The following is a 23,745-nucleotide window of genomic DNA, read 5'->3' on the forward strand; positions in this document are numbered from 1 at the left end:
CTCCTGTGAAACACAAAAGTAGAAAGATGTGTCGTATTCTTGGATTAGACAATGAAGCATCATGAGGATGCCAGTTCTCCCAGGTTAATATATACACTTATTGTCATTACATTAAAAGTAACCATTTTTTTTTCTGGAGTCAGAGAAGTTGATTCTAAACTACATAAGATAAATTAACAAGCTGAATATTCAGGAAAACTCCTAAAAAGAGGCACTATAAACAAAAGGAATGAACTGGGTATTTAAATCAGAAAGAAATTTTAAACACGAAAATGACCCTAAAATATGTGAAAAGCTACTCAATCTAGCTTATATTAAGAAAAAAGTGAATGAAAAGCATTTAAAAATCTTACTGCTCATCTATTTGATTGGCAAGTTCAAAAAGGTTGCTAATATACTTTGTTGGTGGGGCTGTGGAAAAGTAGGTACTGTCATCATTATGGTTTAGGCCCTATGGGGAATAATTTGGAATTAACTAATAAAACTACATTTGCATTTACCTGTTGATTGAGCAATTCTACTTTTAAGAATCTCTACAAATTCAGAATATGTGAAGAAAGTTATTTATTGAGAGACATTATGTATAGTAGCATGTGATTATAAACAATCCAAATATCCATCTCCATGTTAATAGATTGGAAGAATCAATATTATTAAAATGTCCATACTACCCAAAGCGATCTACAGATTCAATGTAATCCCTATCAAAATAACACTGACATTATTCACAGAAATCAAAATTAAAAAACTAAAATGTATACAGAACCACAAAAGACACAGAATAGCCCAAGCTACCCTGAACAATAAGAACAAAACTGGAGGCATCACATTACATGACTTGAAATTACACTGCAGAACTATAGTAACAAAAACAGCATGGTACCGGCATAAAAACAGACACATAGACCAATGGAGCGGAATACAGAACCAAGAAATAAATACATACTCAACAGTGAACTCATTTTCGACAAAGGTGCCAAGAATATACACTGGGGAAAGGACAGTCTCTTTAATAAATGGTGCTGGGAAAACTGGATGTCCATATGCAAAAGGATGAAACTGGACCCCTATCTCTGGGTATATATAAAAATAAAATAAAAATGGATTAAAGGCTTAAATCTAAGACCTCAAACTATGAAACTACTAAAGAAAACACTGGGATTCAATACTATTCCCATCAAGCTACCCTTGACTTTCTTCACAGAACTAGAAAAAACTACTTTAAATTTCATATGGAACCAAAAAAGAGCCTGTATAGCCAAGACAATCCTAAGCAAAAAGAACAAAGGTGGAGACATCATGCTACCTGACTTCAAACTATACTACAAGGCTACAGTAAGCAAAACAGCATGGTACTGGTACCAAAAGAGACATATAGACCAATGGAACAGAACAGAGGCCTCAGAAATAACACCACAGATCTACAACCATCAGATCTGCGACAAACCTGCCAAAAACAAGAATGGGGAAAGGATTCCCTATTTAATAAATGGTGCTGGGAAAACTGGCTAGCCATATGCAGAAAACTGAAACTGGACCCCTTCCTTACACCTTATACAAAAATTAACTCAAGATGGATTAAGGACTTAAATGTAAAACCCAAAACCATAAAAACTCTAGAAGAAAACCTAGACAATACCATTCAGGACATACGCATGGGCAAAGACTTCATGATGAAAATACCAAAAGCAATTGCAACAAAAGCCAAAATTGACAAATGGGATCTAATTAAACTAAAGAGCTTCTGCAAGCAAAAAAAAACTATCATCAGAGTGAACAGATAACCTATAGAATGGGAGAAAATTTTTGCAATCTACCCACTTGACAAAGGTCTAACATCCAGAATCTACAAGAAACTTAAAGAAATTTACAAGAAAAAAACAACCACATCAAAAAGTGGGGAAAGGGTATGAATAGACACTTCTCAAAAGACATTTATGCAGCCAACAAACATATGGAAAAAAGCTCATCATCACTGATCATTAGAGAAATACAAATCAAAACCACAATGAGATACCATCTCACGCTAGTCAGAATGGCAATTATTAAAAAGTCAAGAAACAATAGATGCTGGTGATGCTGTGGAGAAATAGGAATGCTTTTATGCTATTGGTGTTAATGTAGATTGGTATAACCACTGTGGAAGACAGTGTGGCGATTCCTCAGGGATCTAGAACCAGAAATACCATTTGACCCAGCAATCCCATTACTGGGGTATATACCCAAAAGAATATAAATCATTCTACTATAAAGACACATGCTCATGTATGTTTATTGCAACACTATTTACAATAGCAAAGACATGGAACCAACCCAAATGTCCATCAATGATATACTGGGTAAAGAAAATGTGGTACGTACATACCATAGAATACTATGCAGCCATAAAAAACAATGAGATCATGTCCTTTGCAGGGACATGGATGAAGTTGGAAGCCATTATCCTCAGCAAACTAACACAGGAACAGAAAACCAAACACCGCATGTTCTCACTTATAAGTGGAAATTGAACAATGAGAACACATGGACACAGAGAGGGAAACAACACATACCAGGGCCTGTTGCGGGGTGGAGGGCAAGGGGAAGGAGAGTATTAGGACAAATACCTATTGCATGTGGGGCTTAAAACCTAGATGACGGGTTGATAGGTACAGCAAACCACCATGGCACATGTATACCTATGTAACAAACCTGCATGTTCTGCACATGTATTCTGAAACTTAAAGTAAAATTAAAAAAAAATGTGGTGCACACACAATGAAGTACTATTCAGCCATAAAAAATGAGATCTTATCATTTGCAACAACATGGATGGAACTGGAGGATATTATGTTAAATGGAATAAGCCAGGCATGGAAGGATAAATTTCACATGTTCTCACTCATTTGTGGGAGCTAAAAATTAAAACAATTGAACTGATGAAGATAAAGAAAAGAATAATGGTTATTGGTGGCTAGGAAGGGTAGTGGGGGTGGGGAGGAAAATGAGGATGGTTAATGGTTACTAAAATATAGTTAGAATGAATAAAATCTAGTATTTGATAGCACAACAGGGTGACTACAGTCAACAAAAATTTATTGTACATTTAAAAATAACTAAAAGAGTATAATTGGAATATTTCTAACACAAAGAAACGCTTGAGGTGATGAACACTCCATTTATCCTGAAGTGATTATTTGGCTTTGTATGCCTGTATCAAAATATCTCACATAACCCATAAATATATAAACCTACTATGAACCCATACAAATTGAAAAGAAAAAAAGAGAGAAAAACAATAACAAATATCCATCAACAGGGGACTTGTTAAATCAATTATGGTGCATCCACAAAATAGAGAACGAAATAGCTATGAAAAAGAAAAGTTATCAGCCGGGTGCAGTGGCTCATGCCTGTAATTCTGACACTTTGGGAGGCTGAGGTGGGTGGATTATTTGAGTCCAGGAGTTTGAGACCAGCCTGGGCAACATGGTGAAGCCTTGTCTATTAGCCCAGCTGGTGGTGCAGGCCTGTAGTCCCAGCTATTTGAGTGGGCTGAGGTGGGAGGATCGCTTGAGTCAAGGTTGCAGTAAGCCCTGATTGTGCCACTGCACTCCAATGTAGGCAACAGAGTGAGACCCTGTCTCAAAAAAAAAAAAACAAAAAACCAAGATTAGGAACAAAAGATTGGATGAATAGATAGATTATATATATATTTATATAGAATTCTATATTTTGTGTAGAGGCGGTGATATTGCTTTAAATATATTGAGCAATGTAAAGGTTTTACAAATTTAAAAATAATAAAATTAAAAAGGAAAATGAGAGCACACACAGACATTGGAAACAAATGAGCTTAAAATGAATATCAGATGGAGGGACCACGTGCCTCTTCTTGTTGATCCTGGACTTGTGAGCTTCCCCAGTAAAGCTTGCTCTTTATACCGCAACCACGGCAGGCTGTGGAATTTGCACAACTTGCTTCAATTGTGTTTACTGTCTATTGTCTGTCTTTTCCCACTGAATAGTCAGCTACACGCAGCAGGGATCTCTGTCTGCTTTGTTCACGGATGTATACATATAGCCTGAACATGTCTGGCACACCATAGGTGTTCAATAAATATTTGTTGAATGAATGAAATTCCTTGTGGGCAAGGAAGCGAAACCATTCTTTGTGTGTACTTATTTTAATGCCCCAAAGCTAGCACAGGACTAGCAAAGGAATTGCCTGATATATGTTTTTATCTGAGCCCAGATGTTTTTAGCAGAACTGCAACTACATGCCTGTCTTCACTGACTTCTATTCATGTCTGGGCAATAGCCCTGGACCCTGCTGTCCTGGCTTCATCTGTAGCTGGCAGTCTCCGGCAGCCACGATATTGCCCAGGCTCGTGCTATGTTGAAAGTGGTCCAAACTGCCAAAGATTTACTCTCCTCTCCCTTTTAGTGTACTTCCCACTGGGCTGCTTTGTGGATGTTTCAGAGGAGTTTCTCCATTCCTTTCTAGTCGGCTTACAATGATGGGCCTTGATAGTTTGGATTCGTGGAGAAATAAATCTCTTTTTAAAAATGGCTACATACAGATGAAGAAATTTCTTTCAGTAGATGTGGTTTAACAATAAACTGGACAGATCTGACTATCACTAGGGATAGCATCAACCTCTCCACAGCCCTGTCTTAGCATTTCATTGTTTCCATAATATCCACAAAAAGGCTTTGGTTTAGAGTTCACTTCTTAAAGCATTTAGCCCTAGGAGTAAAACAAGTGTGGATTAAATCCTAGCTTGAACAATTTACTAATTCATCATCCTGGGACTCAGTTTCCACAATTTTAGCAACACCTATTTTTCTGAGTTGTTGGAAATACTAGCAAATATGTATGCTACACCCCTTGAACAGTGTCCATTTTTCAATGAAGAATAAGCTATGAATAAAAATAGACCTACTATTCCTACTAAAAATTGTAGGGGAAAAAGATTGGAAGGAAATACATCAAAATGAATAATCATTGCTGTTAGGTGGTGAGATTATTGTGCTTTTATCTTGGTAATTTAAATTTTCCCCAGCTTTTTATGTCTTGTAAAATGACTTTGCAGTAGGTTTATAATCAGAAATGTTAATAAAATAATAACTTAAATAACCTGTAGTAGTTTAAAAGTTCTCAATTATCCTTCCACAATTCTGTCCTGTTCCTCAATAATAACACAAATCTAACTAAATAAAATAAGTTGTGTCAGTTCATTTCATTAGCAACCAGGAGAATTAATATGAGTACACAGACCGAGGGTCTAAAACAAAAAATCAGTCTGCAAACAAATATGAGTAACAATTTAAACGAGGGGCCTGATCTTCAGCACAAATATTGAAGTCAGAACTTTCAGGACCTGGTGAACAGAAGGCAAGCTTTGAATAATGTTGGCCAAGAAGAACAATCTCGAGATCAGGAAATGGGCCAATAGTGTGCCCTCTGTGAACCAGAGAGCAGCCCTCATTGTCTGCTGGGAAAGCATCCTCTTCAAAGGCACTTCTGGAGGAACCTTAGCCACTCCACAGCCACTTTCAGGGATCAGTGTGGAGAAAGATTCATAGTCAGGTTGTGGGTGCCTCCGCAATGGGATGACTATTGTTTGCATCACCTGAGGGGTGGAAAGTGACCACTGGCTGGGAGAATGCAATCTCAGAGATTGGTACGTAAGAGGGAAGGAAATGCAGAGATGGTAGTTTCTGCTCTGTGAGCTGCTCAGCCCCTCTCACCTCCTATTGCTTGCAGGGGCTGTGATCAAGGTTGCAAGAGGATCAGTAGGGACTGAGTCTCCTCATTGAGACTTGTAACAACTTCGCATTTGACAAGCGAGGAAACAGGAAGTAGGGGGCTTAGATGGAAACATGGGGCGGGGGATGGTATATTTAAGACTTCAAAGGGCAAGTATTTTTGCCAATTCAGGTTCCCCAGTGACTGAAGATGTTGAAATGCGTTTCCTGTGTTGCTCCTTTTCTGTGTTGACCAGCTCTGTAACTCATGACACCTGCAGTCTGCTGCAGAGCTCTGCATCCTGACAATCAGAACAAACCATGCATCTCACAGTCCTACAGTAGAAAGCTAGGGTCAATTAGTTACCAAAATTGATACTTATTATGGGGAGAATTTATAACAGAATAGATGGCAAGCCATTTTTACAACTCTGGCTATGCCCTTGGATTGCACAGGCAAGATTAGGAAATTAATAACATAGTTGCGCTCCATCTATCTTTTGGAAAACACATCTAATTTTTCCCCTTAGCTTCATTTTTATGTTTCCACTTTGTGCAGATCTTTTACTTGCTTTTTCCTCCCTCTCATTTAACTCTTAAAAGAAGAACGGGAGCAATGTTCCCACAAGAAAGTTAGTACTTTTCCTGCTCAGGGCATCCCATGATTCAAAGGAGAAAATGTTCAGGTGTTTATAAGAACACCTGACCATTTGGCTGCACCTCAAGAACTGGGATCAGGAGGTCTGAGTCCAGAGAAGGAAAATAACCAGTTGGATCAGTGGGCGAGAGATGGGAGAATAAATAGGGTTGTGACAAAGAGAAGGTCAGCTGTAAATGGGTCAGGAGACCAGAGTGGACAGAGTAGGCCCTGGAATGCTTGCTCGGAGGCCTGCCATGAAGGATTTCTGCTTGCTTCCCCACCCTACCCCGGGGGCAGGATGACTCAGCACTTCCTATTGTTGTGAAGGCCAACCCCAGGAGGCCCTACCAAGGCTGACTGCTGTTAAAACCAGACTGCACTCCTTCTGGCTCCTGGTTCATTCAAGGTCTACATAGTTAAAGGTTGTTCCAGAGGGATGTGTGTAATTCCTCCCAGTATTTGATGTTCCTTTATTACTTATTTTCACTTGAGCCAACAGCCTGAACTGGTCAGGCTTTGGGCTGATGCCAGCTGCTTTATCTGGTAGCACTGTTACATAAAATTAACATTTATTGGTGATCACTAGGTGCCAACATTATGCGAAGAACTTTACGTGGACATCCCATTTAATTCTCAGAAGCCGATCACAAGGTAGGTATTATCTCCATTTGCATATGAGAAAACTGAGGCTTAAAGATGTTAAATTGGTCAAGGACTAAGATGCTACTCAAGTCTTTTGAGTTAAGAGTCCATGCTCTTAACCCGGTAAGTGGTGGGTATCTTGGCAGAGATTAGAAATCTTTCTTTGAGATTGAACAAAAACCAGAAGGTGATCATATGCAGAAGAACATGGAGAAAATTAAAAGCAAATAGTGGGTCAGGAAGGTGATGAGGAGGGAAGGATAGAGGGAAGGGAGGATGAGCTCTTGGTAGAAAATCAAAGTAGCTAAAACCTCTGGCCCTTTGTGGCCATGGAGGGTCCCACCTACAGGATTGCTCATGTAACATCTTTTCAAGATCGACATGCTTTGTTATCTCCATTTTTCATATATGTGTTCCGTGGATTTATCATGTACATCTGGATTCTTCTAGCCACCAGGGGACAAATGTGAATTCAGTGTGACTGAAGAGGCATCTGCCGTACTGTAACTGAAACACAGGTTCAGTTGCTCACTGCTTGCAGAGTCCAGTTAACGAGAGCGGGATCTGTTATAAAGAAAGTGATTTATTCCAAAGCTTAGCTTATGAGAAGAAATACAGGTTCTTCCTTTTAAGGATAATGCTTTTCTTTGGGGGCAGAAAGTAGGGGCTTTTAAAGGGGCACTTGGCATGAACAGCATGCAGGGGAGGGAGCCAGCAGGTGGGGGTTTACTTGACTCACTTATGGTGTCTTATCTACCCTGTGGTCGAGCTGGCACCATTGCAGGCAGAGCTAGGTTGTAAAGTGGCCATCGTCTGGGGATACTCTCCAGGTGGCAGAGAGTTCTGTTGCAGGCATACTTTTGGTTGTAAATTGACTGTGCTGTCTTGAGGTAATCTGGTGCTCTGGAGGTTCTAAGTCAGCACAGGGTCAGCTTGCTGTGTAGGGAGTGTCTGGTGAAGGGAAGGTAAAGATTATGATAGTATTTCTTTCTTTCTTTTTTTTTTTTTGAGACAGAGTTTCGCTCTTGTTGTCCAGGCTGGAGTGCAATGGCACGATCTTGACTCATTGCACCCTCCGCCTCCCAGGTTCAAGCGATTCTCCTGCCTCAGCCTCCCGAGTAGCTGGGACTACAGGCGGCTGCCACCACACCAGCTAAGTTTTGTATTTTTAGTAGAGGTGGGGGTTTCACCATGTTGGCCAGGCTGGTCTCGAACTCCTGACCTCAGGTGATCCACCCGCCTCAGCCTCCCAAAGTGCTGGGATTGCAGGCCTGAGCCACCGTGCCAGGCCTGTTTCAAAAAATTTTTTAATTTCCTTCTTAATTTCTTCATTGACCCACTGGTAGTTCAGGAGCATGTTGTTTAATATTCATGTCCTGTATTTTCTGAGGTTCCTCTTGTTTTATTGATTTCTAGTTTTATTCCATTGTGGTCAGAAAATATATGAGATATGACTTCCACCTTTTTGAATTTATTGATATTTGTCCTGTGGTCTAAGATGTGGTCAATTCTGGAGAATGCTCCATGTGCTGATGAAAAGAATATGTATTCTACAGCACTTGGGTGATTGTCAGGTTTTGTTTTGTTTTGTTTTTTTGAGATAGCATCTCACTCTGTTGCCCAGGCTGGAGTGCAGTGTTGACATGATTGTAGCTCACTGCAGCCTCAAACTCCTGGGCTCAAGCAATCTTCCTGCCTCAGCCTCCCCAGTAGCTGGGATTATAGGTATGGCACCATGCCTAGCCAAATGTCAGTTTTTTATCTTTCTCTCCACTGATGTCTCCAAACATACTCAGTGTGATGGTGAATTTTAGGTGCCAACTTGACTGAATTGAGGGAGGTGTAGATGGCAGGTAGGGCATCATTTCTGGGTTTATTTGTGAGGTTTTCCAGAGATTATTGATTTGGGAGTCAGTGGACTGAATGAGGAAGATCTGCCCTCAATGTGGGTGGGCACCATCCAACGTGGGCTGGGGTCCTAGCTGGCACAAACAGGTAGAAGAAGGGGAGATTCTCTCCCTCTCCCTTCTGGAGCAGGACACCTTTTCTCCTCCTGCCCTTGGACATCCAATTCTAGGTTCTTTGGCTTTTGGACTCTAGAACTTGTACCAGAGGCTTCTCAGGGGCTGTTGGACCTCTGACCTTGGACTAAGGGTTGCACTGTTGGCTTCCCTGGTTTTGAGGATTCTGGATTTGGACTGAGCCACACTACCAGCTCTCTGGTTCTCCAGCTGACAGGTGGCCTATTGTGGGACTCCTCTACCTCTGTGATCATATGAGTCAAATCCCCCTAATATATCCCCTTTCATATATCCTGTTGGTTCTGTCTCTCTGGAGAACCCTGACTAATACACTGGGGCACTACTCCTTCAAGAAAAACAAAACAAACAAAAACACCACCACCTATTACTCTTTAGTTCTTTCTTGTCATCATCCTATTTTTTCTGTTTACTGTTATATCTGAATAAATATCTGCACTTTTTCATCTTCACTTGTTCGCTGCCCAAAAACTCTTAATCCCATGAAATCTGGCTTTTGCTAAAACATTCTTTTTCTTTCTCATTTTGTAGAAACAAAAGACTTTACATCAGGCCACTTGTCTCTGGTATTCCTCTCTCCTTCCTTTCATGAATAAAACTTTCAGCCAGGTGTGGTGGTTCACTCCTGTAATACCAGCTGCTTGGGAGACTGAGGTGGGAGGACACTTGAGCCTGGAGTTCAAGGCTACAGTGAGTTATGATTGCACCACTGCCCTCCAGCATGGGTGACAGGGTGAAACCTGTCCTTAAAAAAATAAAATAAAAATGAACCTGTCTCATATGTTAGCTGTGGAGGCTCAGCTAGAAACGATATTCTCCAGTCTCCCTTGCAGTTGAGTATGGACATTTGGCCAAGAGTGGGGGCAAATTATGCCTTCCCTTAAGCTGACTACTTGTCCTGTCATTTGTCTTTTGTTCTCACCACTGGTTGGAAGCTTTTAGTCTGTTTTGTGCTGCTATAACAGAATAGCACAGAATGGGTAGTAACTTACAAACATTAGAAGTTTATCTGGCTTATAATTCCAGAGACTGGTAAATCCAAGATTGAGGGGCCACATCTGGTGAGGGCCTTCTTGCCGCATCATGTAAACCAAAAATACAATTATAAGTCCTGCCAGCCATCTGAATGCACCCCTCCTCTTGGCCAAGGGGATTCCAAAGTTAACCTAAAAAATTAATTCAGGCCATGATGGGAAGTGGGATCCACACATGTCTCATTATGCCCTCATCCTTTTTGTAATTACTGATAGAACAGACTCTTTGAGTCTGATAAGAATTTACAATCTATTCTCCCTGAAGCCTGCTACCTGGAGGCATCATCTGCATGATAAAACCTTAGTCTCCACAACCTCTTATTGTAACCCAGTCATTTCTTTCTATTGATAATAACTCTTCCAACCAAATGCCAATCATAAAACCTTTAAATTTACCAGTTACCTGGAGGCCCCCCTCTGAGTTGTCAGGCCTTTCTGGACCTAACCAAGGTACATCTTATATACGTTGATTCATGTCTCATGTCTCCCTAAAATGTATAAAACCAAGCTGTACCCCAATCACTTTGGGCACATGTCGTCAGAACCTCCTGAGGCTGTGACACAGGTGTGTCCTTAACCTTGGCAAAATAAGCTTTCTAAATTGACCAAGAGCTGTCTCAGATACTTTTGGTTTACAATCAAAACATGACAGAAGGCATCACAAGGGTGGGCAAGAGGGGGTTGAATTCACTGTCATAACAAACCGACTCTCAAGATAATGACATTAATCAATTTATTAGGGCAGAGCCCTCATGACCTAAACACCTCCAATTAGGCCTCACCCCACAATCCTGTTGCATTGGGGATTAAGTTTCCAACACATGAACTTTGGGGGAAAGTTCAAACCATAGTGGAAGCAATTGCTGTTAAGGTGGCAGGGCTAGCATGTTGAGGACAGCAGTGCTCCTCTGCCAGCCCTAAACTGATCACCACTGGATTTTTACATGTGAGAGAATTACATTTACACTACATTTTCATCATTCTATTTTGTGGTCTTTTTGTCTCAGTAGCTTAGCAATTACCCTAATAAACTCCTTTCTTTCATTTTTAAAAAGGAATATGAATTCATTGTAGAAACGTAACTTGATGATAAGTAGAAAAACAACATAAACGATAGCTATTGATCCCTTTTACTGATTATTCTGTCTTCTGTGTTTAATTGCTTTCTTTTCTTTCTCCTACTCACAAGCTTAGACATACCCCAGAACTATCTCTTATCTTTCTATGCTCTATCACAGAGAATAACTCATGTAGTGCTTGATTTCATCATTAATTTGTTCACTCATTCAAAAATATCTAGTGAGACCTACATTCTGTGAAGTGCTGCGGATAAAAAAATGCATCAGATGTGGCTCCTATTCCCAAGGAGATCACAGTCTGGAGAGGAGAGGGAAAGGCAGCTATAAACAGGTCCTTTTAACACAGGGTGCTGAGTGCCTTGATGGAGCACTGTATGTGTCATTACAGAGGAGGGCACCTCACCAGCTTGATGGGGGCAGAGGGGTGGGTCTCTATGAAGACCCCCAGGAAAAGGTGAGCCTGGTAAAGAGAGTTTAGAAGGAGGAGGGATGAGGGAAAAGGGAGATAATTCTCAGCCAAGAGGTCAGTCAGGAACCAAAAACCCAGATGTAAAAACTTTCAAGGCATTTGCCAGAAATGCAGTATTGTGCTGACATGTGAGAAGTGCAAAGCAAGGGTGTCAAGAGCTGAGCTGACAAAGGGGTGAGATCACACAGGCTTTGCTTATAATACTATGGAGGCTTGGGCCTTCTCCTGATGAAGCTTTAATGAAGAGTATTAACCAGAAGTGTGAGATTATCAGATCTACCCATAGATAGAGTATTCTGAGCGGCTGGGTGAAGGATAGGTTTCTAGGAGGTAAACAGGGTGGAAACAGGGAACGAGTTTGGAAAAGCTATTTGCAATGGAGTAGTTAAGAGGCAGTGACAGGTAGATCTAAGGTACTGGAATGAAGAATGAAGAAATAAATGAACTTGAGAAATACTTAGGAAATTAAATGGGCATGGCTTGGTGACTGAAGAGGAAATAGGATGAAGGATAAAAGATGACTCCTGGGGGTCTCACTTGGGTGGCTGGCAAGATGAGGGTGACACTGTTAGTGGCTTAGCTATCATCTGCTTATGAGGTGGCTTATCGAAGGTAAGGAAGCTTAACCTTCAGACTCCTTTCCTTGCATGAAGCCATTCAAAGGCTCTGGGAAGGGCCCTAGCAAATTTTGTATACTTGAATCTGTATTCTTTTTCTTAAACAGAGCCCCTACCCTTTTAAAGCTGGTATTAGCTTCAGACACACAAAACCTGAATCCACCCTGCCCGTCCCCTTTCAAGTCATCTTTCTTATTACCAGTAGATTAATCTTCCTCAAAACAAAACGTTGACATCATGTCAATCCTCTTCTCAAAAGCTATTGTCATCATGACAACAGACTTTATTAACTTGACAGTTTTACTTTGGGGTGGCCCTTTACTGCCTCTAAAATTCATCTCCCTACAAATCTTTCTAGTTCAGAAAAGTAACTTTGACCTGTCTGTCCAAAAGCAGGAAAATAATTTACAAATGTTTGAACTCTTTGGTTCTTAGACCTATCTACCAATTGAGTTGCCTTAGTTGCAATTACTCCGTTGTACTTTCTTGTTTGTCTCCCATATTCTTGCTTTGTTTTTATCCCAATTGTGGCTTTTTCTACTTTAAAACACTTGCCTAATCTCAAACCTGGCTATTCAGTTGTGTTTGGCATGTCTTGTACCTAAAGAAACCACTGGCCTATGCACACATCACTCTGTATCATAGTCGTTGGGCACATCCAGCATGTGATTACACTTTAGAATTCTGTTTTTGGTCACGTTAAGTCAAAGGCAATTTGCACTCTAGAATGTTCATTCAGATGTATAAATCTTTGAACATCAGTTATTCAATAGTTCCAATATTTGGAACACAGCATGCTGTCATCTGCAGTCACAGAGGTGTGCTGGACCATTCTCACATCTGAAAGAAGAGTTGTCTTTGTTGTTCACCACATTGCCACCTGATAAATGGCTTCTAAGGATTTTCCTGCAATCTGAACAGCTGCTACTCTGTGTATGAAAAATCTAATTTTACTTTGTAAGATTTCTTCCCATAATGTCCCGTCTGCTTCAACAGATTCTCACTCAGACACACTAAAATGGGACTCATGATATCAATTTAATATTTTAGCAATTTCAATAAACAAGGCATATTCTTTTTTCTTTCGGGATAAGGCAGGCCTAGCATCTTCCTAAAAAAGAATATACTCTGCAACCTCATGTTACAAAAATTGCAGCTTGGTTAAGTTTTCTATTGATAGTCCTTCAGTTTTTCTTATAAGAGCATAACTCATGAGAAAAGTTGTTATATAAATAAAATATAGAATGTTACTATTAGAAGACACTTCTGAGCCATAGAGCATAGTGCTGATGTTTCAGTCAGCACTTTCTCATCTCCCTTCTTCTCAGCTTCTTCCTACTTCTTTATCCTCTCCATGTCTGTTCCATGTTGGCAGATACAAATCAGAGGTATGGTGGGGTTGACAGCACCTGCAGAGCCCTAAGGGCTTCTTCTCTTGGATAAAAGGACTTGGAGCTGCCCACTCTCATTCCACAGAGGGAGTTAGGAGCCAAGGAAAGCAAAAAATTGTAATCAGCAACGTAGAAAAGATGCAACCTGAGGCAGGTGAAGGATTTGGGAGCCCAATTCTTTTTTAGGAAAATGCTGTTTTCTATATCATAATTCCCTTCTGTTATCCCAAGCCTCCTGATTGTTGTGGTACTTCAGGGATTCAGGGATGGGCATGTGTCAGTGCCGGGAATACAGCAGATAGGGAAGCCTGGCAACAATCTGGAAGGTGGTTCTGAGATGGCCAGGGGTGGCCTGCTGAAGACTGGAGCAGCAGTCTAGCTCTTAGCTGAAGGGACAAGCAGTAGCTAGGGAAGATGTGTGGAACAGGTAAGCATTCCTTGGGGATTTTCAGAAGCACTTAGGAAGGAGAACCTGGTAAAAGTCTAAACTTCCTTTTCATCACAAATGACATGAGCCCTGATTTTTGTTGCCCTGGGAACACTAGAAAATAGAGAAGTCTTTCACATCTGGCCTACCCAAAATAAACCTTCGTGAGCCCATGTCCAGGAATGGGGCTAATTCTCTGCTTCTCTTCCACACATATGTTCACTCCTAACTACTTTTCATCCCCTTTCTATCTCTGTTCATTTTGGGGTTGACCAAGTGGGTGGACTAGACTAAAGGGAGCCAGAAGGATCACCTACTGCAGTTTGCTACTCCGCCAGAAGTGGCCTGGGGTACTCATACAGCCTGGGGCCTGATGTAGAAGATTCTCCCAGCATCATGTTTCACCTAGGTCAGCACCGTGTTCCCCAGCTAATTGATACAGAAGCTCCCCAAAGGCCAGTGAGAGTGGAAGGACCATTCCTTTGAGCTCCTCCTTTCTTCTTCTTTCTTGCCTCATCCTTCTCCTCCCCTCCCTCCCACCTTCTTTTCTTCATGTGTCCTTGATCCTAGAACATTTTCTGCTTATTATTTTTCGAGCGTATTGCTGTTACTACCAGTATCCTGTGTATCCTGTTGTGGCCAGAAAGCTACTGACACCATTAGTGCTTTACAGGGCACAAAGGGAGCTAAGGAAGCTTAAGGCTAGACTAGGAGGTTTCTGTCTTGCTCTTTTGGCTAGAAATTATTATACGAAGACATATACTATTGTTTTAACTATATGTCATATTATATATTTTGAATTAAGATTGATTGGTCTCAATATATAAATATGTGGTAACAAAATTCAAATTTGATAATTCAGCATAACAGTTCAGGACTTTTTCCTCCTCTTGAGAAACAGGACTCTGCTACTACCTATGGAGTCTACTCTCTTATCTGTGTTGGAGAACATGAATGACATGCATCAGTTTGGAATATTTTAGGTGAAATCACCTAGAAGCCAGGTTTTGGATGAGGTGTGGTATGATCATTTAACTTTAGACTCACAGCCGCAGTTCACCCTCCCACCACCTATTCCTTATATCTATGCAGTCCTCCTTCCCATCCTATTGCAATACTGGGAGGGAAACATCCAGGGCAGTAGGAAACTCCCTTGTCCCAACCTCCATAATCTGTTTCTCCACTATCTGCATTGATGACCAAAGGTCATAGGGGTTACTCTCTCTGCCTAAATGAGTGGAAGCAGAAATGTCACAGTTATGAAAGTAGTATTCGAATTAAAGAAAGGGGCTACCAAGTATTCTGTCTATTCATTACGATCTTTTTGGAAACTCCTTTATATGGAAACTCCAGTCATCTGAGGCCTCAATTCCTAGAAAGCAAGCATCTCCACATTCTGTCCTTGATATAGATGTACTTGTTCATAAATATTTTGTCCATTTTGGCGTCATCTACATCCTATGTGCTCAATACATATTTACTAAACAAACAAGTGATTCTTGCTGCCTTTAATAGTGTTGTGTTGGCGGTATGAACACAATTTAATGCTAGACGATATTAGTCATCAGGCCAGCCATTTAGCCACATCCTCTTATTGCCTACTCCTATAATTACATGATAAATATGGGAGCATGAATGCCCAAGGACTTTACATATCCTATTTTCTTATATTCATTTGTTTTGAGCATCAAAAATCAGTTATTGTGGCCTACTGTGTACTGGGCATTGTAACTGTAAGTGGTACAGAGTGTACAGTTTTTAGAATTCTCACTATAGTGTGGTAAGAAATTATCTTAATTTTTCATTCATTTATTGGTTCATTCAACAACCATGTGTCAGGATCTGTGTTAGATGCTAAGGAGACAACAGTGAACACCACAGACAAGATCTTGACCTTCATGGCACTTAGAGCTGAGACTTAAAGAAGTAACTTGCAGTTAGAGACATATCAAGTGACTAAGCCAGGATTTGAATCTGATTCCAAAATTTATGCTGTCTCTGAAAAATACTGATAATCAGTTACAAAGAACATGCTAAGCACCAATCTTTTACAACTTGGCTCATTTTTAAACCTTTGAACCAATTCCATGTATTAAGTATGACTATCCCCATTTTACAAATGAGGAAATGGGACTCTCAGAGATTAAATAACTTACCCAAGATCACCAAGCTAGTAGACGGCAGGGCTTAGATCTGGACACACATCAGCCTGGCTTCAGAGCCCATGCTGCTTCCATGTGGTCACACTGCTGGCCAATGGCATAATGAAGAGAAAAGTCCAAAGGCCAAGCACTGTAGGGGTTTATGGTTCAGCAGGTGAGAAAAGTAAAATACACTTACAGTGCAAAGCAGAATATAAGGTCACAAGAGTGTAAGCAAACTGCTTTGGGGTTGAAGAGGGATTATTTTAGTCTAAGGAGTCTTTGAAAACAGAGTGAAAACACAATATAAATAGAAGTTAGGATTATTTCACTTCCTTAATCTTTTTTCCCCAATGAATATATCCATTATATACAATTTATTGAATGTCAGAATGGATACGGCACTGTAAGACATTTCAATTTCAGAGATATTAAATGGTTAAAACGTGTGGATCATAGAATCAACTGTAACCTCCCAATGGGTTCTCCTTGCCTGCCGCCCAGACAGAGCCAATTTATCAAGACAGGGGAATTGGAATAGAGAAAGAGTTGAATTCATGCAGAGCCAGCTGTACAGGAGACTGGAGTTTTATTATTACTCAAATCAGTCTCCCCAAAAACTCAGGGATCAGGGTTTTTAAGGACAATTTGGTGAGTAGTGGGTTGGAAAGTGGGGTGTGCTGATTGGTGGGGTCACAGATGAAATCATAGGAAGGTGAAGCTGTCCTCTTGTGCTGAATCAGTTCCTGGGTGGGGCCAGAAGACCAGATGAGCCAGTTTATCCATCTGCGTGGTGCCAGCTGATCCACTGAGTACAGGGTCTGCAAAATACCTCAAGCACTGCTTTTAGGTTTTACAACAGTGTTGTTATCTCCAGGAGCAATTTGGGGAGGTTCAGAATCTTGTAGCCTGCAGCTGCATACTCCTAAACCACAGTTTCTAATCTTGTGGCTAATTTGTTAATCCTGCAAGGGCAATCTAGTCCCCAGGCAGAAAGGGGTTTTGTTTTAGGAAAGGGCTGTTATCATCCTCTGTTTCAAAGTTAAACTATAAACTAAGTTCCTCCCAAAGTTAGTTCTGCCTATACCCAGGAATTAACAAGGACAGCTTGGAGGTTAGAAGCAAGATGGAGTCAGGTCAGATCTTTCACTGTCATAATTTTCTCAGTTATAATTTTTGTAAAGGCAGTTTCACAACTAAATATAATTTCTTTTTTTTGAGACAGAGTCTCGCTAGGCCGCCCAGGCTGGAGTGCAGTGGCGTGATCTTGGCTCACTGCAACATTCACTTCCCAGCTCAAGCTATCCTCCCACTTCAGCCTCCTGAGTAGCGGGGACCACAGGCGTGAGCCACCACGCCCAGCTAATTTTTGTATTTTTTTTTTAGAGACAGGGTTTCGCCGTGTTGCCCAGGCTGGTCTCGAACTCCTGAGCTCAAAGTGATTAGCCTGCTTTGGCGTCCCAAAGTGCTAGGATTACAGGTGTGAGCTACTGTGCCTGACTGTCTTATTTTTTAATTGATGAGCATGTCTTGCTCTCTGTTCGAGGTATTTTAATTAGTAAAAGTATTGAAGAGTCATAGTCTATTCTCATTTTCATTGAGGTCCCCGTGGGGCTGCTGTGTATAGTTCTTTATTTTGTGCACTGAACATAGGTACCAAGCTGAGAGCATGAAAAGAGTTTGAAATGAAGCCTATATACTAAATGATGCTTCTCACTGCAGGACTGACTCATTCCCACCAAAAGAAGGGCATTTAGGAGCCTTCTTAAAATTTGTATGAATTGGAAAGATTTTTCTGTGGGCTAGCAATGGCCCTGGATCCCACAGCAGGAATGATGATAATGGTGCCACAACAGCCAGGGTTATATACTGTACCTAATATGATAACACATTTTTAATATGTCTACTATATACTTTAAAAACTGTAGAAGTTTATTAAACTCTAAATTAAATTTAAGATTAACTTAGCAATTAAGTAATTACATCATTGTAAAATTTGTTAATGAAAATTTTTATCAATTCCATGTTATTACATAAAGACAAATTATAATATGGGATAAAATTAAATAACTTTAACTTTCAACTACACAATATTTTTGCATATAACTTCAGGGGTTTCAAAGACCATCTAAATCCCATTTTGTGGGATGTTTGGACCTCAGATTATACTAATATCACACTCATACTATTGTACAGAATGATTCAAAAAGAATTGAACACATACAAATATTAATATAAACATGATCACAACCTAACACTTTCCATAGACATTGAAAAGGTCACTCACAGTTTGGCTCATACATGATTCTGAATTACCTGGTTACTGACAAATACATTTTGGAAGTGTTCAGTTATTTTTTTGATCACCCTATATCATTTAAAAACTTCTTCTGAGAGGTTTCAAATGCCAACTTGGCACTCCTAGCCTTGGATGCTATTGTGCTATGACTAAATATTATCCTCATGATGCAAGATGCCTTTTATAGGTTGGATTAATGGTGAACAGAGTAATATTTTATTGGACGGCAATAATTTTACTTTAGATTTCAATAAGTGATGGCGGTATTACCTCTCCACTGCAACACTCCTTCAAAATCAGATCAACACAAAACCACCCGCGGACAGAACCAGAGCATCTCTGAAAGCTTCAGAGTTGTCATAGTGACCATCAAATTGTGAGGCACTCCAGGGCTTATTCTCACAGACAGTGAAGATTCCCAGGACAATGAGTCATTATTAAAGCAGAGAGAACCTCTAAATGGTTCCCTTATTAGATCATTAAGTGTTTGACTGCAAAACATGGATCTGACAACGTGGGTATCATCATTAGCCAGGGGCTGTCTTCAATTTCACAGACTATGTCATGAAACTGTCATGTTAAACATTTATTTTTCTAGCTGAATGTCATCTTTAAGGGATATTATTTCACTGGAGAATTTGCTGAGAGGAGACTGACTTGGATTTTATCAGTCCAAAACTGAGCCAGAGGAATCTGCTACAGGTGTGTGTGTGTGTGTGTGTGTGTGTGTGTGTGTGCGTGCTTGTAAAAAATGCCACATACTCTGACTGCAACCCCATACATGAGCTCCAACAGCCAGTATAAATTCAAGTTGATCTTAACAGAAATATATTTATCTGGTCAGGTTTTAGTTGGCTCTTACTAAAATGAACATTCAACATTCATACTTCAATATATCATTAATTTTGAAATATTTTATATGCCTATTAATCTATCAATATTTTTCTTTTTTCTCTCTTTTTTTTTTTTGTTTTTGTTTTTTGAACAGAGTCTTGCTCTGTTGCCCAGGCTGGAGTGCAATGGCATGATCTCAGCTCACTGCAACCTCTGCCTCCTGGGTTCAAGTGATTCTCTTGCCTCAGCCTCCCAAGTAGCTGGGATTACAGGCGTGCGCCACCATGTCTGGCTAATTTTTGTATTTTTAGTAGGGATGGGATTTCACCATGTTGGCCAGGCTGGTCTCAAACTCCTGACCTCAGGTATCTGCCCACTTTGGCCTCCCAAAGTGCTAGGATTACAGGCGTGAGCCACCGTGCCAGTCCGAATATTTTTCTTCTTAAAGGAAAAGAATTTCAAATAATGTTGACTGATTAAAGCAGATACTTTTCCTTAAAATTTTCTTTTTAAAAATGAAAATATTTGTTCAAGGAACACGTTTTAACTATGAATGAAAGCTGACTGCAACAAATGCAAAATGAGATCACCAAGACACATGCCAAGTATTTTGCTTCATTGAACACCCAGAGCAGCAGTGATGAAAATGAATGTAGGGGGATTAGGGATATTCACTATCAATGATTAAATGGGTGGCAGTTTTTCTTGGCCTATACAATGATGATCCATAAATATTTACTGACGTTTTATTAATTCAACAAATATTTGTTGAGTGCCTGTCTGTGCCAATCATGGGGCTCGGTGGTTGAGATACAAAGATGAATAAAGCAGAACCTCTGTGTGCTATGTTCTGTCCCAGCTAATCAGGTCTTCATAAAAGGGGCTAATAGCATGAAGGAGGAGGAGGGATCAGTTCTAGCTAGAGGGTGGCCATGAAATCAGGCAATGCAAATATTATTATTTCATTGTGTATTATAGTATACAACCAACAAACCATTTATTATATATGTGCCTATGTTTCTAGACTTGCTGGCCACCTATAAAAGGGTCAGGAAAGATTTTAAAGGAAAAGATACTTGATTAAGGTCTTATATATCAAAAAATGTTCACCAAGTTTGGGGAAAGGGCCTGGAAGGACATTCCTGATTGAAGGAAATGTCCAGGGAGCTGCAAGCAATCTTGCTTAGAGTATAGGAGATTAAGCTGAATAGGTGCATAAATCAGGCTAAAGAGAACAGTTTTTTTTGTTTGTTTGTTTTTTTGAGACAGGGTCTCTCTCAACCTCTAGGGCCCACCAAACAATCCTCTCACCACAGCCTCCCAAGTAGTTGGGACAACAGGTGTGTGACCCAGCTAATACCCAGCTAATTTTTTAATGTTTTTGTAGAAATGGAGTATCACTATGTTGCCCAGGCTGAAACAGTGTGAATCTTATTCCGCAGGCAATCAGGAGCCAGTGAGGAGTTATAAGCCAAGCAGTAACCTGATGATTCAATCAAAAAATATGTATGGAGTGTCTCCTACTTTTCAGGCCAGTGCTAGGTGCTGGGTTACAAAGATGAATTAGATACAAGGAACTCAAAGCCTAGTAAAGAAAAATATAAACAAGTTAGTGCAGTGAAAGTCATAGATTTTCTATAATAATGATGATGATGATAGCTTATTGGATGTATATCAATACCATGTGCCAGGCATGTGCTAAGTGCCAGCATGTATTATCTTAATTATCCCATCCACCCCAAGAAGTACTACTGATTAGTGCTATTTTATAGAAGAGGAAACTGAGGAACAGAGATTTGGTAACTTGCAGCTGATAAGTGGTAAAGCCAGGGTTCAAATCCTAATGGTCTGACTTCAGAAAATGTACCTTTTAATCACTAAGGGCTATGCTACTTCCCCATAATGGAAATCCCTCCAGAGCACTAGGGGCCACACTAGATAAGGCAATCCATTCTGCAGGGATGAAAGTGGGGGCTGGAAAGTCTTCATGGAGATGGTAATGGGATTATGGATGGGATAAGGAAGATCATTCTGATAGCTTAGAGCTGGGCAAAACTGGAGGTGGGACAGTGAACTAAGAGGCTAAGTAATACTTGGTAGTTTCAGTAGGAAGGAGAGGAAAGGACAGGGTCTAGACATATTTTAGATGTGAAATGGTTTAGCATGCTGAATGAGGTTAGGTTTCTGGTTTGCATATTGAGATGGATAGTAGAGCCATTAACCATGATGCATAATGCCAAAGAAGAAACAGGTAAAGAGTGGCGTAGGGGTAGAGTGGATATGTTTTTCATTTGCTAAATATGACCAGTCTGTGGGATAGTAAATGAAGAAGACAGTGATTAGATATGGGGTTCTGGAGTTTGGGATAAATATCAAAGCTAGGGATTTTATTGAATGTCATCTTTGAAGAGCTTCAAAAGAATACATTACTTAATTGCTTGTATCTCTCTAAGTGTTAAATCATTACTACTGATTTCATAAAAAAAGGGGCCAAATTTTTGGGTAAAAAAGTAATAACAGCACAAGAAAGAAAATAGTGAAGCTGGCAAAGTGTACTACCTCATTTAAAAGCAAACGTGTAGGCAGGTTTTCTAGCTTATAGGGCTATGAAAATGGCACTGAAGCATTGTGCATACCTTTGAGGAGAAAAATACAGGGGGTGAGGAGAGAGGTAGATCAAGGTAAAGAGGCAGAGTTTGAGAGAACAAGGGTAGGGAAAGAATATTCCTGAATGTTGCCTTAAGCACATAAAGAGCTATAAGTATAAATGTTGTTGGTTCACTTCCTATTTTGAGAGTTCCTTGATCAGCCTAGGGTTTCCAAAAATTTATCATAAGAAACAGAACCTGGAGACAAAGGCAAATTTGTTTGAATGGATGCGTGAATAGAAATAACTTGAGACTAGAAGATACCTCCTTCGCCAAAAAAGACGAGGCTGTGGAAATCAAGCCAACAAATAAACAACCTTCAATCTATATATGTAGAGTCAAATTAACCCTATTATCATGTGGGTGGAGTCTGTTTTATTCCCTCAGTTTTTGGAATATAGCAAAGGTACCATTACTCACCCATCATGGCAACACTTGTTTAGAAGGAAAACTACCATTCATGAATCATTGACCTGAGCATAATGAAAGTTAGCCACCTGGGATACCGTTGACAGAAAAATGGATTCCTCCCGTTGAAAGATGTTTCGGTTAAAAAAAGTTCTGATGCCAATTAATAACAACAACAACAACAACAAGAACAGTAACAAACAACCCTATTAAGGACCATTAAGGGAAATGAAAACTCTTAATCTGGAAGCCAAAGATGGGTAAAGAACAAGAGAGTGAAAAAAGCCCAAAAAGCAGTCATACACAATAATAGTGGGCATAGAAGGAAGGAAATTCTCCAAATACAGTTTTAACAGGGTGTCCTTGGACAGAATTCTGTGGAGGCGGAATGAAGTGGGCAGGGCCCTATGTTCGTACATTGTATGTACAAAACAGCAGGTGACAAGAGTGAGGATTTCAAAGACATTTTCTTTCTTGGAACATATGGGACTTTTAAGGGAAGTAGGGGGATAGTTCGGGGATTATTTTTACTTATTTCTGAATGCATATAAGACTGTTAGAAATTGCCAAATGGTATCATCATTTTAAAGAGATTGTTAGATGTAACAGTATCAGTTGAGATGCTTTCAGCCCCAAGCCACAGAAATCTCAAGTTTAATTTTTTTAAAATATTAAAAGCATTTATTATAATCACATAAGTGGTCTAGGGGTAGGGGATGGTAGGTGGTGCCTGTTGGTTAATTCAGTGACTCAAAAACCTCATCTATGTTCTTTAACCCTTCTCTTTTGCTATTCTTGGTAGTTAGCTTTGTTTGCCTTTATGCTCACAAATGACAACATCCAGAAAAAGACAAGACCATCTGTTCATTTGTATTTCTCTTGGGAAGGAGAAATCTTTCCCTCAAGCCCTCAACTCTTACACCTCACTGGCTAGAGCTGTGTTCTGTGCCCAAGAATAAACCATTTATAAGAGGAATCAATTATAAGAGGAATCAATTAAAAGAGGAATCGATTATGACCCAACCCCTGGAGCTGGGGTCCAGCCTTCCCCTGAAGCACATGGCCCCTCGAAGGAGGTTGGATATCTGAACAAAATTGGGGTTCTGAGAATAAGCAAGAGAGTAAGATGGATCTGCGGCAGGAAATCAATGATGTCTGCAACAAATTAATTTCAAAAGCCATTTTTTTTTTTTTGAGATGCAGTCTTGCTCTGTCACCTAGGCTGGAGTGCAGTGGTGCAATCTCGGCTCACTGCAACCTCTGCCTCCTGGGTTCAAGAAATTCTCCTGCCTCAGCCTCCAGAGTAGCTGGGACTACAGGCGTTCGCCACCATGCCAAGCTAATTTT

The 23,745-nt window shown here is 40.2% G+C and overlaps 1 protein-coding gene and 1 long non-coding RNA gene across 9 annotated transcripts in view, besides 1 other annotated feature; one reads left to right on the forward strand and one right to left on the reverse strand.

Moving 5' to 3' along the window:
* Positions 1-549: 549 nt before the first annotated feature.
* LOC105375457 (uncharacterized) overlaps positions 550-23,745 on the reverse strand; it is a 28,346-nt gene continuing 5,150 nt past the window's right edge. For 4 of the 7 annotated variants that reach the window (XR_927871.1, XR_927874.3, XR_001745327.2 and 1 more), the window contains one exon: positions 16,994-17,030. This is a non-coding gene — a long non-coding RNA (uncharacterized LOC105375457). Of the gene's footprint in view, positions 16,361-16,993; positions 17,050-20,697; positions 20,928-23,745 lie in introns of those variants that run through there. The other 3 variants (XR_001745325.2, XR_001745324.2, XR_001745326.2) reach the window with 3 other exon arrangements.
* Positions 6,583-6,877: an enhancer, noted in NCBI's record as "tiled region #10411; HepG2 Activating DNase matched - State 5:Enh, and K562 Activating DNase unmatched - State 5:Enh". NCBI's record gives its function as "activates a minimal TATA promoter and a strong SV40 promoter by Sharpr-MPRA in HepG2 and K562 cells {active_cell/tissue: HepG2 | K562}" and the evidence as "EXISTENCE:reporter gene assay evidence [ECO:0000049][PMID:27701403]".
* The window catches only part of IFRD1 (interferon related developmental regulator 1), a 54,030-nt gene continuing 37,047 nt past the window's right edge, over positions 6,763-23,745 (forward strand). For both annotated transcript variants that reach the window (NM_001007245.3, NM_001197080.2), the window contains exon 1: positions 6,763-7,021. The gene's annotated coding sequence lies outside the window, so the exon portion shown is untranslated. The remainder of the gene's footprint in view (positions 7,022-23,745) is intronic.

The sequence above is a fragment of the Homo sapiens genome, chromosome 7 (assembly GCF_000001405.40).
Source record: "Homo sapiens chromosome 7, GRCh38.p14 Primary Assembly".
In the NCBI taxonomy this organism is placed as follows: Eukaryota; Metazoa; Chordata; class Mammalia; order Primates; family Hominidae; genus Homo; species Homo sapiens.